This window comes from Homo sapiens, chromosome 2, assembly GCF_000001405.40.
Source record: "Homo sapiens chromosome 2, GRCh38.p14 Primary Assembly".
Lineage (NCBI taxonomy): Eukaryota > Metazoa > Chordata > Mammalia > Primates > Hominidae > Homo > Homo sapiens.
In genome coordinates this window covers 148,633,239-148,647,059 of record NC_000002.12, presented here as the reverse complement: position 1 = coordinate 148,647,059, position 13,821 = coordinate 148,633,239, and the positions used below count along the sequence as shown (strand labels likewise).

General features: G+C 44.0%; 1 protein-coding gene across 2 annotated transcripts in view, besides 5 other annotated features; it reads right to left on the bottom strand.

Moving 5' to 3' along the window:
• Nucleotides 1–2,309, bottom strand: part of EPC2 (enhancer of polycomb 2) — a 142,819-nt gene extending 140,510 nt beyond the window's left edge. For both annotated transcript variants that reach the window (NM_015630.4, XM_011510941.3), the window contains exon 1: nt 1,890–2,309. In NM_015630.4, coding sequence (NP_056445.3) covers nt 1,890–2,042 — 153 coding nt within the window. In that variant the 5' untranslated portion in view covers nt 2,043–2,309. The remainder of the gene's footprint in view (nt 1–1,889) is intronic.
• Nucleotides 986–1,135: an enhancer, noted in NCBI's record as "active region_16620". NCBI's record gives its function as "activates an Ori minimal core promoter by ATAC-STARR-seq in GM12878 lymphoblastoid cells {active_cell/tissue: GM12878}" and the evidence as "EXISTENCE:reporter gene assay evidence [ECO:0000049][PMID:35858748]".
• Nucleotides 1,226–1,315: a silencer, noted in NCBI's record as "silent region_12000". NCBI's record gives its function as "represses an Ori minimal core promoter by ATAC-STARR-seq in GM12878 lymphoblastoid cells {active_cell/tissue: GM12878}" and the evidence as "EXISTENCE:reporter gene assay evidence [ECO:0000049][PMID:35858748]".
• Nucleotides 1,732–2,236: an enhancer, noted in NCBI's record as "H3K27ac hESC enhancer chr2:149402393-149402897 (GRCh37/hg19 assembly coordinates)". NCBI's record gives its function as "activates a minimal SCP1, AML or CMV promoter by ChIP-STARR-seq in primed H9 embryonic stem cells {active_cell/tissue: H9 hESC(primed)}" and the evidence as "EXISTENCE:reporter gene assay evidence [ECO:0000049][PMID:30033119]".
• Nucleotides 1,732–2,655: a biological region, named in NCBI's record as "H3K27ac hESC enhancer GRCh37_chr2:149402393-149402897".
• Nucleotides 2,076–2,655: a silencer, noted in NCBI's record as "silent region_11999". NCBI's record gives its function as "represses an Ori minimal core promoter by ATAC-STARR-seq in GM12878 lymphoblastoid cells {active_cell/tissue: GM12878}" and the evidence as "EXISTENCE:reporter gene assay evidence [ECO:0000049][PMID:35858748]".

Below are 13,821 nucleotides of genomic sequence, written 5' to 3'. Positions count from 1 at the left end.
CTGCTCACTGCAACCTCTTTCTCCCGGGTTCAAGCAATTCTTCTGCCTCAGCCTCCCGAGTAGCTGGTATTACAGGCGCGCACCACCAGGCCCGGCTAATTTTTGTATTTTTAGTGGAGACGGAGTTTCACCATACTGGCCAGGCTGGTCTCGAACTCCTGACCTCATGATCCGCCCACCTCGGCCTTCCAAAGTGCTGGGATTACAGGCGTGACCCACCGTGCCCGGCCTAGAACAGATTTGACTCAAGTTCTAAAATAATAGGATCAAAGTAATTACACACAATACTGGTACTTTTAAGGCCATCTTTCTTTGGATCAAGACCCACAAAATAGCAAAAATATCCAAAGTTGTGCTTATTAGGGTTCAATGTAATTAACTATTGTATATAATATGATTTTATTTTAATTTTCCTTCCCATGGAAAACTGAGTCGTTAGAAACAAATTAAAAAAAAAAGTTCTCACATACAAAAAAAAAAGTTCTCACAGCTCTAAACCTTAGGGATAAATGCTGGGTTTTGATTATAAACATATTTATATATATGCACACACAAATATATATGTGTATGTGCGTGTATATATATCTATTACATATTTGTGTGTGTACACACACAGTTAAGTTCATCCCGATGCTACGGCCATATGCATTTTCTACTGAAAATGTAAGACTTTCAAGTAACTATACATCAAAGAGAAATGTGATTAAATAAGAGCAAAGTAGTATTAACAGGGTAACATAATGAGGTCAGAACTCAACCAGCCAATCGAAGGCATAAAAGCATTTCCTGCAATATTAATAGTCAAAAGAGAAAACCAATCACTGAAACCTCGAGCTTCCTTTTGACAGTCACTGAAGCAAGAGAACCAATCCACACACACCCGAGGTTGACAATAAGGCGGGACTGTAGGTTCATTGAAGAAATTCTTGAGGGTGCAGTTACTATGAACTTCGCACGCAAGTAACACCACTCGAGTCATAAACACTCTCTGTCAAGCCAGATGAAATCCAACCGTCTGCAAAATTTAACCCATCGGAGGAAAAGCAGCAATTTTCCCAAAAGGTGCTGTATTATCAAAATTACAACTGCCAATTTAGATGCACTAGGTCCTCAACTTCTAAGGACCACCTCGCAATGACAATTCTCGAGGACAACGCAACGCCGGCGGCTCGCTTCCGGGCATCCCCGGCTCCTCTCTAACGTTGCGCACGGAGCACGGCCGTCCAGGCGGAGCAGGCAGAGCCCGTCCGCCCCGCGCCCGGCTCGGGTCGGCAGAACTGGCCGGCGGGCGGCCCTCGGACGCTACGACCCGCTCGGTAGTCGTGGCCCCCGCCCTCCCCCGCCGCAGTGCTGCACCGCCTCATCCCGCTGCACCTTCGCGGGCGGGGGAGCCAGGATGATTACATTGCTGGGAGGAAGATGTTTGTTTTGAAAGCACCCTTCCACAGTCATTTCAAAGAGAACTCAATACAAAGCCAAAGTTAAAAGTGGAAAAAATAATAATCTTGCCTAGCCAAATAATACCACGCCATTAATTAGCCCCGCGCCTGAGAGAGGGAGGTGGAAAGGTAAACAGAGACCGTACGCCAAGAGCGGCCAGCGCATCCCCTGCGCCATTCCCGGCCGCCGCTTACGGCAAGGCCCCCTTACGGCAGCGTAAGCAGCGCTGCGAGCTAATCACAACACTGGGACGCAACAACATGGCGGCCGCGGGCGGGCGCTACGCCGGCCGAGAGGGTTTACGCTACTCCGCCGGCGTAGAGTCCCGTGCGTTAGAGCGGCAGCGGCGCCCTCCAGCGAGCGTAAAGCGCTCTGTGAATGGCGAGGCCCGACTGACAAAGGGGAGGGGGGAGGAGGGAAGGGGGGGTAATAAACACTCGAGTCCCTACCGATTCCTCCTCCTTCTCCATCCCGGTGGGCATCTGGGGCACGGCCCGGTTGATGGAGACGCAGTCGTTGAGATCAGGCATGTCCTTGCCGCGGTAGATAGGCAGCGGCTTGGCGGCGTCCAGCGCCCGCGCTCGGAAGGAGAGTTTACTCATTGTCTCCCCGCCTTACAGGAACAGCCCGGGCGGCGGCGGCGGGGCGGGCGGGGAGGGGGGGAGGACTCCCGCCGCCTCCTCCACCTCCTTCCTCAGTGCAGCGCGGCCGGCCCGCTCCTCCTCCTCCTCACTGCCCCCGGCCACAGCATGGGCGCCCACCCCGCCCGAAAACAGCCCCCCGCGCCCGCGGCCGCCTCCACACACTAGATCCGCCGCTCGCCCGCCCGATCCGCTCCCTGCGCCATGGCCAACATGGCGGACATTACCACAGCGGCGGCGAGCGATCCCGGCAGCCCGCGCGAGAGCGCGCCCCCGTCGCGGGAACGCGCCTCGCCCTCTCCCTCCCTCCCTCCTTCCTCTCCCTTCCCCTCCCTCGCCTGCCCACCCACTCTCTCCGCGGCGCTGCCGGCCCGCGGGAGCGTGCTCGGTCTCGGTCCGCTCCGGGGAGAGGGGGCGGGGGCGGCGCCCCTCCGCTCGCTGGCCGGTGCTTTCGCTGTGTGGCAGGTGCCAGGTGCGCAAGTTCGCCCGCGCCCGGGAGCGTGCGCCTCTCCCGCCGCCGCCCGGTCACCCCTCTCGCTGGGTGTCCCGGAGGAAGGCGCCGGGCAAAGACGGCTGCGCCGAGCAGCGCGTGTGTGCAGAAGTCCGGGAGCGGGAAGGGAAAATGTCGACCCGGACCCCACCAGCCATCACCCAAGCCTGTACTTGGACAGCGCTATCCCCAAGGCGCCCTGTGCGCAAGCTAATTCGCATCCTCCGAGGCGCACATCCCCGAGAGGTGCAAGAGGTCTCTCCCATCAGTCCCATCAGTCCGTTCGGAGGACTGGACCGCGCTGCTGGTGCCAGCCCTCTTCTACGCCCTCCCCTCCGTACCTGTCCGAAAGAGCTCTCCAAGGTGCAGCAGCGCGTTCATCCTCGCTTTGCAGTGAGGGTTCATGGTTTGAGGCTGCCAGATGCAACAAGTGAACTTAGGTTCCCTGTCACCCAAACTTCGGTACAGCTGTTTAGTGGATGGTAGGTATTTTTCTGAGTTCAAAAATAGTAGCTTTCCTAAAAGTTCAGCTTCTAAAAATTTAGCCAAGGCAGCACACATTTGCGAAGTAGCAGATGTGTGTCAAATGTGGGGTGCTGTGGAAGACTCGAAGAAATCTGAGAAAAGGTTCCTGCCTCAGAGAGCTTTCACCTTAATGGGATGCCAGGATGGCTGGAAAGATGAGTAACAGAGACGTAAATAGTTGAAGAAAATGACAGCTGGAAAGATAAGTGACAACCGAAAAAAAAGTGTAAATATTTTAAGAAAACAATACAAGAGATGACACAGGCAGTAAGTAGCACATGATTAATTACCAAACGAGATCTAGGCAATAATTGTGAGAGTTCAGAGAAAGGAAAGGAGGCATGACTGCAGCCTAAACTGGTTAGAGAAAGTTCTCAAGAGGAGGGAAAATCAAGGTGACTCAAATAAGTACTAGCTATTGTTGACATCAACCTGGTTTAGCCAAGAGGCTCTTGGTTAGTCTTTAAGCATTACACATTTCTCACAAAACCGTACAAAGAGAGTTTTTAACACATTTTACCATTTTCTAATAATCGATCATACTCTAACTCAGAGAAAGTCAGATGATTTCCTAAAGACCAACAGTGAAAAAATTGATTCCTACTGTCATTTCTATGTGACAATAAAACTATATCTCTTCCTCTATTACGTCCTTCTTCCCCTCCTCCACTTCCTCCCCTCCCCCTTTTTCCTCCTGTTCCTCTTCCCCTTTTCTCTCTGCAGTCTCCTCCTTTGAAGGCAGAATGGTGGATATAGTCTTCATGGTAGTGTCCAAATAGTCTAACCAGTCTGTCGCAGCAAAACTCCGAGTATTGTTTAGTGGGGCTTGAGTGTTTTTCATCCACTTTGTTGTTGGAAGCAATGGAGTTGCTGTGACTCATTTCTTGTAAGCAGTACCTTCCTCAAGCTTATGGGCATGTCCTGCTCTCTAAGTGCTACCCCTGGAACAGTTCCAATCCTCTGGAAGCAAGAACAAGAAGTTCTTGGGAGGGGGTCAGCACTGGGTTCAAGCCTGAAAGGGAAGAAAAAAGCAATAGTTGAAGAAATGAGTCATCCAGAGCTTTCATCTGGATGCCCAGCCCTCCTCAGGTTCAGAAAGGATAGCTTTCTTCTAGTCCCTATGTTTAGTTTTACTGTTTCTCTCAGAAAAGGAAATATCAAGTATGTGTAATATACCATCCATTGTAGTAACATGTTATATATATTATCTCAACTAGTTGAATTCCACTTAATTCTTATTATAATTTTATGAAAAAATATAATTTTACCAATAAGAAAACTGAGCATCAGATAATTTGCCAAATTTCAATTCCAACAACTTGCAGAACTGGGCTCAAATTCAGGTCTGACCTGACTCCAAAACTCTGGTTTTCTCAGTGGTGCTACCCTGCTATCCAAGCTCTTCAGCTTATTGACCAGTCAGCATTCTAAAGCTGCTAATTCAAAATTAGTTACTAAGACCTTCCAACCAACGGCCAAGGGAGCGCATAAGCCAGAGCCTAAAGTTGCAGTAGACCAAGGAGGGCAGGAACAACATCTGTCTGTCAATCACTGTATCCCCAGTTCCATGCCTCACATATGGCAGGCATCTAAAGTATATTTGTTGACTGATATTCCATGAAGAAATTCACTGATACTGACCCCATGCCACTCTAGTTTATAGTTCACATACCTCACTGGCCTGTCACCTGACCTAGCTATTGCTGCCAATATTTGTTCTTACTGTGGCCTACCCTGTTGTCCAGCTTTGTACCTTTGTGCATAGAGATTTTAGAACCAATTAATGTTATTCAAAAACACCTTTTTGAAACCTGGAATTTATAGGAAGGGATTTTTGCTGTTGTGGTTGTTTCTTTGTTGTTCTTTTACTTTGACCATGTAAAAGATTTCTTCCCCAAATCTCCATTTTCTTCTCACCCTGTAGGCAATGATTATAGAGCTGGGAATAAAACCATTTAAGGCAAATAACACAATATACTTTTCAACGGAGACACAGCCTGTGTTTTCTTGGCTTCCAATTCAGTGCCCAAACCGGAATGCCACTGTTCACTTTTGGAAAGTAACTTTTATTTGTATATAAATATTACTTTTCATAAAGTTTATTTCTGATTGATTTGTTGAATACTCATATAATTGTTAGTGCTAAAAGCAAAAAATATCTTCTTATAAAATAAAAAATTCTCTCATGAAATATTTTTATCAAGACCTGCCTCAAATGGGTGTGCAGCCTAATAGCCTATTTTAATTTCCACATACAATGCGCTAAGTATAGTCATTCTAAAATCAGTCCACTTCAGATATGCTCTAGACCAATTCCAAATGACATGCATTTAGCCCAGCAAGCATAATATATAAGCACCCAAGAATTAAAACCAGTTTAAAGCCATATCAAAATAAAATCACTGTCTAAATGTAGTCTAAATTAGAATAAATGTCAAATAACTGTTAGAATTAGGATTACATTCCAGTGTCCATCTCCCAGTACTATAATCAAGGCAGGCAGCTTCCAAATAATGGACAAATTACTTTTTGAAAGGAATCTTAAAACTAGTAAACACAGTTGCTATTCAACTATTTCAGAGTTTTGCAAATGTCACGTTCTTTCTAATTGGCTCCTGGTTTCAGCAAAACCATTTGAAAGTTAATTGGGTTAGTATGTGAACTGCATCTCCACCCCTCCCCCTTATGTTCCCAGGAATGAGCCTAGTACTAATAAAGCTTCGTTGTTTTCCATATGTAATCTGAATGTGGGGTCTGCATTCATTACAATCAACTGGAATCAGTTCTGTGGTTCCAGTGCCCTTTTCTGAGGCAGCTCTGCATCTTTGAGACATAGGGACAGAGACTACACTGAGAGGTGACCTGCCAAACATCTACTTCTACCTCTGCATTTGCCACCGTGGGAATAGCAGATGGTAAATAAAAATTTGTGACTGTGGCTCAGTTTCTTAGCAGCATCGCTCCTCTCAGACCTGGTTGGAATCACAGGGTGCCACCTTGTGTATAAGCTGACGATTTACTTCCCAGCTCCACAAAGGATCCAAATAGACTCCAAAATAATCAGCCTGAAAGCTCTGCATTTTGGTAACTAAAAAAAAAAGAAACAGATTTGAAAACACACAGCTCCAGAGGGTCCACAACACCCAATTTTGAATTGCACTGACAGCCTGTCTCATTTGTTGCCCCACCCGGACCGTAAAACACAACCAGTGCTCCACATTTGGAATAGATTGACGCTGCTCACTCAGGCTTTTGGATGGGGATAAGAGAAATAAGTAAAGCTCTTGTGATGAAGCTAACAAATCTGACTTGGACAGTTATGTGTGTCCAAACAGCAAGCAAGCTATGTAGATGTAATTTCAGGATTTTTTTTTTCTTTCTTTTTTTTTTTTTTTTTTTTGAGATGGAGTCTCTGTCACCCAGGCTGGAGTGCAGTGGTGCAATCTTGGCTCACTGCAACCTCTGCTTCCTGGGTTCAAGCAATTCTCCTGCCTCAGCCTCCTGAGTAGCTGAGATTACAGGCACATGCCACCACGCCTGGCTAATTTTTGTATTTTTAGTAGAGACAGGGTTTTGCCATGTTGGTCAGGCTGGTCTTGAACTCCTGACCTCATGATCTGCCTGCCTCAGCCTCCCAAAGTGCTGGGATTACAGGAGTGAGCCACCGTACCTGGCCTGGACTTTGGATTTTTGAGAGGCACTAGGTTCCATTGAGCTGATGAATATGAGCCTACTTGTTTTAATAAAATAAGTAAAATAATTATTTTTAAAAATAAGTACTTATTTTAATAAAATTGGATGATAGTGAGGTTTTAAAAATGACCGAGTTTGGAACAGAAATACAATTGTTGGAGCAAGGCCACGGGAGGTTAAAAAATAGGATCCTTTCCAATCCAGCTACCTTGCCCTTGAGAAATTCCACACTTGGAGGAAACCCACTCTAAATTCAGCACAGCTGTCATTCAGCTGAAGACACTATTACATTCATGGAACTAGCTGGATGATTCATATTATTTTCATAAGGGTGTTGGAGTGGAGATCCTGGGGCTTTGGGGGCTACAGATGCACACCCACTGTTGGTTTAGGGCTCCTGAAATGTATATTCTTCACAGTTTCTGTCTCCATTGGTGCATCCTGTTCTCCTGAGGCACCTCTGAAAGGTAACTTGGAAGGTTGTTTCAATCCCTGTGAAGGCAGTTCAGTCTCACTGACTTTGCTGGCCCATCTCAGACAACAAGCAGGCTCAGAGCACCAAGCTCACTGGGGTCCAAGTGTTAGCTAAGAGGAGTCCATTGTTAGGAAACTTGGGTTGCTCGTCTAAACATGGTTCCTCTCACCTATTTTTTTAAATCTCTACCACCAACAAAAGATTAAATGTTTATAACCACAGATTTGTGAATGGCGTATGCAGCTGGAATCCTGAATTGAAGAAAATCGGTGAATTGATTTATTAACAGCCATGCCTTACTGATCTGATCTTTTGTTGTCCCCTAGAACAAAATAACCTGTTTCCTAAGAAAAAGGTTCTGATAGTAGCATACTGAGAGCCCCTTAAATTCCACAGTGACTTGTTAGGAGGTAGAAAGGAAAGCCACTTTGTTTTCTCCAAATTAGAAGACAGATTTACTTGTCTTTCCTCAGCTATTAAAGGTGACTTTGGCAGGGAAAGAAACAGAGACCACTGAAATAAAACACACTAATTACTTAGAAATTTACTGACTCACCCATACCTCTCACCTTGTTTCAGAAAGGATTTCAAGTGGCTTTTAAGAGTTGCTAAAATATGCTAGGATAGCATTTGGGTTCTAAATTTCCTAGTAACACGAAATTAGGAAACTTTGTCAGCTTCACAGCTCACAATATCCATTAGATAAAATGACTGCTCAGGAGAGTTACAGTTGTTCCTGGTACTCATTGCAATGTCCAAGAGTCTTTATAAATAGAGCAACTAGGTGATATAACAGATATTTCAACAGTAATCTTACAATAGATACAAAAGGGGCATCTAAGGGCTGTTTCTTATAGTGACCCTCCATATACACTGACGGCATTATACGCAATCCAGCACAACCAATTCTGCAGAGGTTAGAATGGAGCTGGATGTCTGAAGCCATGAGCCCCACCCCATACAGATCTGGGAGTATGAATGGACCCTACGGCCCCCAGGCAATCCTGCCTGAAGATTCTTTTTCTCTCAACTGTCTCCTGATAAACTGTCCTGCTGAGAGCTCAAAATTGTGCACTATTACAATTGCCTGAAGTGCAGCTCTTCTAAATGCCCAATTAAGGGCAGGCCCACACGCCTTAAATGACCATGTTGTGGAGGATATTTTCTGGAAAGAAAGAAGCTTAACAAGAACCAGTGCCTGAATAGAAAGCTCTCCTCCCGCTCTTGCAATGAGCTAAGGGTGTATCCACTGGCAAAGCCAAGAGGTAGTCTGACCTTTGCATAAATAAGGTGTGCATTCCTATCTCAGGTTAGATGGCATCAGGGGGTGGGGAGGTAGGGAAAGGTTGTTCTTGCACACTGCATCCATGTGAAGGTTGTCCTGTAGTTGGTGTAGCTGTTGTTTGCAAGCTTTGTTTTCTAGCTGTGGACTCTGCTTCCAATGCTTACATTGTGCCTTTACTTACTTAGAAAGAGAGCCGCCCCATCTGTAACTGCTACTTCTCTAGGGCAGCTTTTGTAGCCCAGCAGACTGTGCAAGGCTTGTTTTGAAGGAAACTGAGTTTCAGAGTGTCCTCTGTTAAAGGAGGACATTAGGTCCTCTTACTCAGCCATACAAGGGACACTTATGTACCAAGTCCCCATTTTTCACGCTTACTAGTCCAGTAGTTCTTCTAGCACTGTGCATTCCCCTCTAGGGCTGGTACATAGGCCCATACCAACCGATGATGCAGACTTGCCATTTTAGAAATATCTTGGGGGATCTGCATGGGCAAAGGGACTCCAGAAGTGGATGTCAGTTTGAGAACCAATTTTCACCATTGATGCCTTCTACTAGGTTTGAAGGTGGTTATAGCTTGGTCTGGAGCTTGGTGCCTGAAGGCCCTACTTTTATGGTCTTTTCTCCTACAACTTCCCTACTTCATGGGAATGAAATGGCTTAAATAGCATGTGCCAGGCCATGTATGAAGTGACGCCAGTCATTTAAAATGTGCCTGAGTGACTAACAAAGAAAACAACATTTGAAACCTATTTTAGGTATAGAGATAAGTCTGGAATATTTTACCAAAATATTCCCCTTAGTGAGAGAAATGAGATTGCAAGGAAAGGATGATGGTAAAGAGAAATACTTTTTACTTTATAAACCTCTCTGTTATTATTCTAGATAGATGGTTTTAAAAACTCATTTTAAAGAATTCCAATCTAGTAGGCCAGGCGTGGTGGCTCACGCCTGTAGTCCCAGCACTTTGGGAGGCCGAGGTGGGCGGATCACGAGGTCAGGAGATTGAGACCATCCTGGCTAACACAATGAAACCCCGTCTCTACTAAAAATACAAAAAGATTAGCCAGGTGTGGTGGCGGGCACCTGTAGTCCCAGCTACTCGGGAGGCTGAGGCAGGAGAATGGCATGAACCCAGGAGGCAGAGCTTGCAGTGAGCCGAGATAGCGCCACTGTACTCCAGTCTGGGCGACAGAGCAAGACTCTGTCTCAAAAAAATAAAAAAATAAAAGAATTACAATCTGGTAATAGAACCTGCTTGGGCTTTGGAGAGAGACAAAGCTGGTCTCCCTGTATTCTATGACCCTTGTTAAATTGCTGCACCTCTGTGAACCTCTGTGACTTTGTGAAATGGGTATAATGTGCCTATCTCACCAGCTTCTTATGAGAAGTAGATGAAGTAACATGATACAAATTGGCTAACACAGTGCCAGGCACACAGGCCCAATCAATATTAAAGCTACTGTTTCTATTCCTTTCCCTCTGTCTTTTTATTTACATGGCTTGAGGTGATTAAAATTAGATAAAATTAGAACTGTAGCACATAGAAAAAATGAAATCTTGAGTTTCTACTCCAGTTTATGGTTCGTTTTAAATTCTTCAAAACTAGAGTAAACTGAACATACACCCTCCCACCCCTCCCCACTCCCAGTTGACACTTTATTCCCTAGCCTCGTTTAGGGCTCATCAACTACCCAAGAACAGAGTGGAACTATTATTCAAATCGTCATGGCCATAGGGCCCTGCCAAAAAGATGACATTAGAGCCTTCAAAGTGGGAAGATCATATCTTTGTTGGAGAGACACATTTATGTCTAAATACTTAATCGGACTCTGAAAAGTCAGACTTGTTTCTCATTGTGCAAAAGTTCTCTTCAATAACTATGAGATGAATCACATGACCTTAAGACTGGATTTGAGGGGAGGTAGTCTGCTTTTTCTTCTGCCTTCCCTTTTACCCTCTCTCCTTCGCCATTTCTTCCTTCCCTCTGTCCTCCTCTTAATTTATGAAATTCTAAAGATAATTTTAAAAGTCCAAATTTCTGTCTGAACAGCAACATGGTTAGCTCGTATTCGAAATCAGAAAGAGCTAGGCTACTTACCCATGAAAAAATCCCCCCATAATCCATGGGCTGGCTGTGTCTGAGTTTATGTTCACCTGCAAAATAAGGCTACCGTGTTCACAAGGGATATTAGCAGGAGTCATTATATAACATCTATAACACAGTGGGACAATTTCCAAAAGAATTTACAAATGATGTTTGAAAATGCTTGTCTGATTGTTTTCAACAAATCTGTCTGATTATATTTATCCTAATGTGTCCCCATCTACATATCCACATTGGTTTAAAAGTCAACATCTCTCAGAGTCAAATTTGAGTGAGCCAGAGCCATTTGAGTACATGCTCTTCTTTTTTTCTTTTCTTTCTTTATTTTTTTTGGTAATGAAGGAGATAATGACACTGGTTTGCTTATATGATTTGTAAACTAACTCTGAAAGTCTTTCCAAAAGAAAAGTTCCCAAAATGCGGTATGTTTGCCCAAGTCTCTGCTTTGAAGGAGCATACTGATCTAGATGTGTGTATATTGCTGTGCTTACTAAACCAGGTCCATCACTTACTGACCTTCTCTCATTTTTATTATCCACTGATATAATTTAATTAAGAAGAAAAATATTGGAACATAAGGCTGGTAGCCTTGGTTTTACTAACCTTTCCTGACTCCTGAGAGGTGAGAAAATTCTCCAAACAAGAGATTAGCCAAAATACAATAATAAATATCCGGCTTGGCTTTGTGTTCTCTGGCAGGATATTTTGTTCTTTGTTAGTTTTATGAATTTATGAACAGTTCTGAAGGCATTCTATGTGAATAAGCTTAAATCAAGCTTGATTTTTCATATGTTAATTTAATTTTTTTTTTTTTACTTATTTATTTTTAGAGACAGGGTCTTGCTCTGTCACCCAAGCTGGAGTGCAGTAGGATCATGGCTCACTGTAACCTGGAACTCCTGGGCTCAAGCAATCCTCCCACCTTAGCCTCCTAAATAGCTAGGACTACAGGACTACAGGTGCTCACCACCAAACACAGCTTGCTTATTTATTTATTTATTTAGAGACGGGGGTTGGGGGGGGGGTCTCACCACGTGGCCTAGGCTGGTCTTGAACTTCTGACCTCAAGCAATCCTCCCACCTCAGCCTCCCAAGGCTCTAGGATTATAGGCATGAGCCACTGCACCTGGCTTGTATGTTAACTTTAATATAACCTTTAAGTGTACAGATTTTATCACTTATAGAGTAATCTTACCCAAATTACAAATAGTTTGCCATTACGTGAAATAGAAAAGAGGCAATAACCCCCAAATGCTTAGAATTGAAAATGTAAACTTTGTTTTCATCCCCCAATCAAAGATTTGTTTCCCACCCTAGAAGTTGATGCCTGCTCTCAATAGTACAGCTAACGGCCCAGAGCAAGCACAATTATTGGCTTCTCTTCTGCCCTCTAGCCTGATCTATAGCAATAAATTCCCAGGGTGGCCATGCAATTACACACAATGTGATCACTATCACAGCAGGCCCAGCTAGATATGGATACACAACATGATCACTTACCCAGTAGGCACCGTTCAATATGGTTAGACAACATGATCACTACACAGCAAGCCCTTTTCAGTATGGATGTCTAACATGGCCATGACTAATATACCAGGCACCTTGCATGCAACTGAAATGCAACCACCATCCCTGCAAGAACAGCTTGTTGGGGACACATTATATTATACCTAACTCCACGTGTGCACTCAGGTGTAGATACTCTGCAGAAGGTCGTTTAGCACAGCAGGCTCTGCCATAGAAAAATTTGACCACAGACATAGCAGAAACAGATTTGGCTTTGCAGACAAGCTCTGATAGGACCTCCCAATGGGACTGCTAACATGGCAGGCAATATTCTATCTTTAGCCAAGTGCCAATACGAAAGAGCCTAATGATGAGCAAAAGATCTGTAATTTACAAAACATCACAACAAATGGACCTGAAGAAAAAGACAAAGAGCACACTGCTTATGTTGAGTGTGGATTTTCCTGCATCCACACCACCAGTGCCTGTGGCAGAAAAGAACGCATTTGACATTATCCTGCTACTCTCATTAGAGCAGATCCTTTTGATGGAAGGTGGTACGTCTCTGTGCTGCTTTGATGTGTGTGAAAATACACTAACTTTTTTATGTATAGTAACATTATCAACTGTTATGTACAATACAAAAGAAAAGACTTTTAGGAAAATAAATGAAGTATTTCTTTTTTGCCAGCTTTAAAGAAGCAACTGGATTTGCAAATTTGAAATCAAAATAACAAAATTTGAAATCAAATTAACAAAAAGGGAGTAATTATTATATCAAAAAGCTTTTCATTTATTTTTAAATGATGCTACTCCCATAGACTCCAATTTGGCTGATCTGGAATGTGGCCCAGAAATATACATTTAACAAATATACCAGGTGATTCTTCATCAGAATATTTTACACAGCTTCATCTCATTGGTTCCTTTTTTCTTCTTCATCTTTTTTTTCCGTCTAATTTTCATCTTTCTCTTCTTCTCCTTATGTTTCTTGTCTCCTTTCTGTCTTTGGCTCTATCCTCCTCCATTTTTTTTTTTTTTTTTTCTGTTTTTTTCTAGGTATGGGTAGGAAGATGCTGGGGGAGGGGTGGTGACAGGGATGGGAAGGTTGGTTGGACAGTTGTGAATAAAAGAGGAGAAAGCAAATCCTGCCAATTTCATAAGCCTCAAGCCATGTTCCAAAACAGTACAAGGTCTCTGTGTATTCCCTGTGCCTCTTTAATTGTAGCACATGGATCATGCCACCTAATTTTCTAGTCATGGTTACAGATGGAGGTCATCAGAGTCAAGAGAAGATGGGCAGAGATCTTAAATGGAACTTGCAATTGTCCAAGTTTGTCTCCACCAACTAAAATATGCTGCATTTAAAATTCTTATGGCAAACCTGGGATTGGAGCAGCTATTGTCATAGAATCCCACCAATGGTCTTTGTAAATATTGAAGTTCCAGCTCTCATCTCTTCCCTCTGCCCTTGACCCCAATCTCCATCTATTTATGGGCCTTTTGCTTTTGTTGTTTTCTGTCATGGGCTATTTACTGAACATGGGTGCAGCAATATGGTTCGAAAAACCCTAATTCAGGAGGCAAGGAAACCTGGATCCACATCTGGCCCTGGCATTAGTCAATCTTGTGATCTTAGGTTATGCAAACTCTCCAGTAGCATTG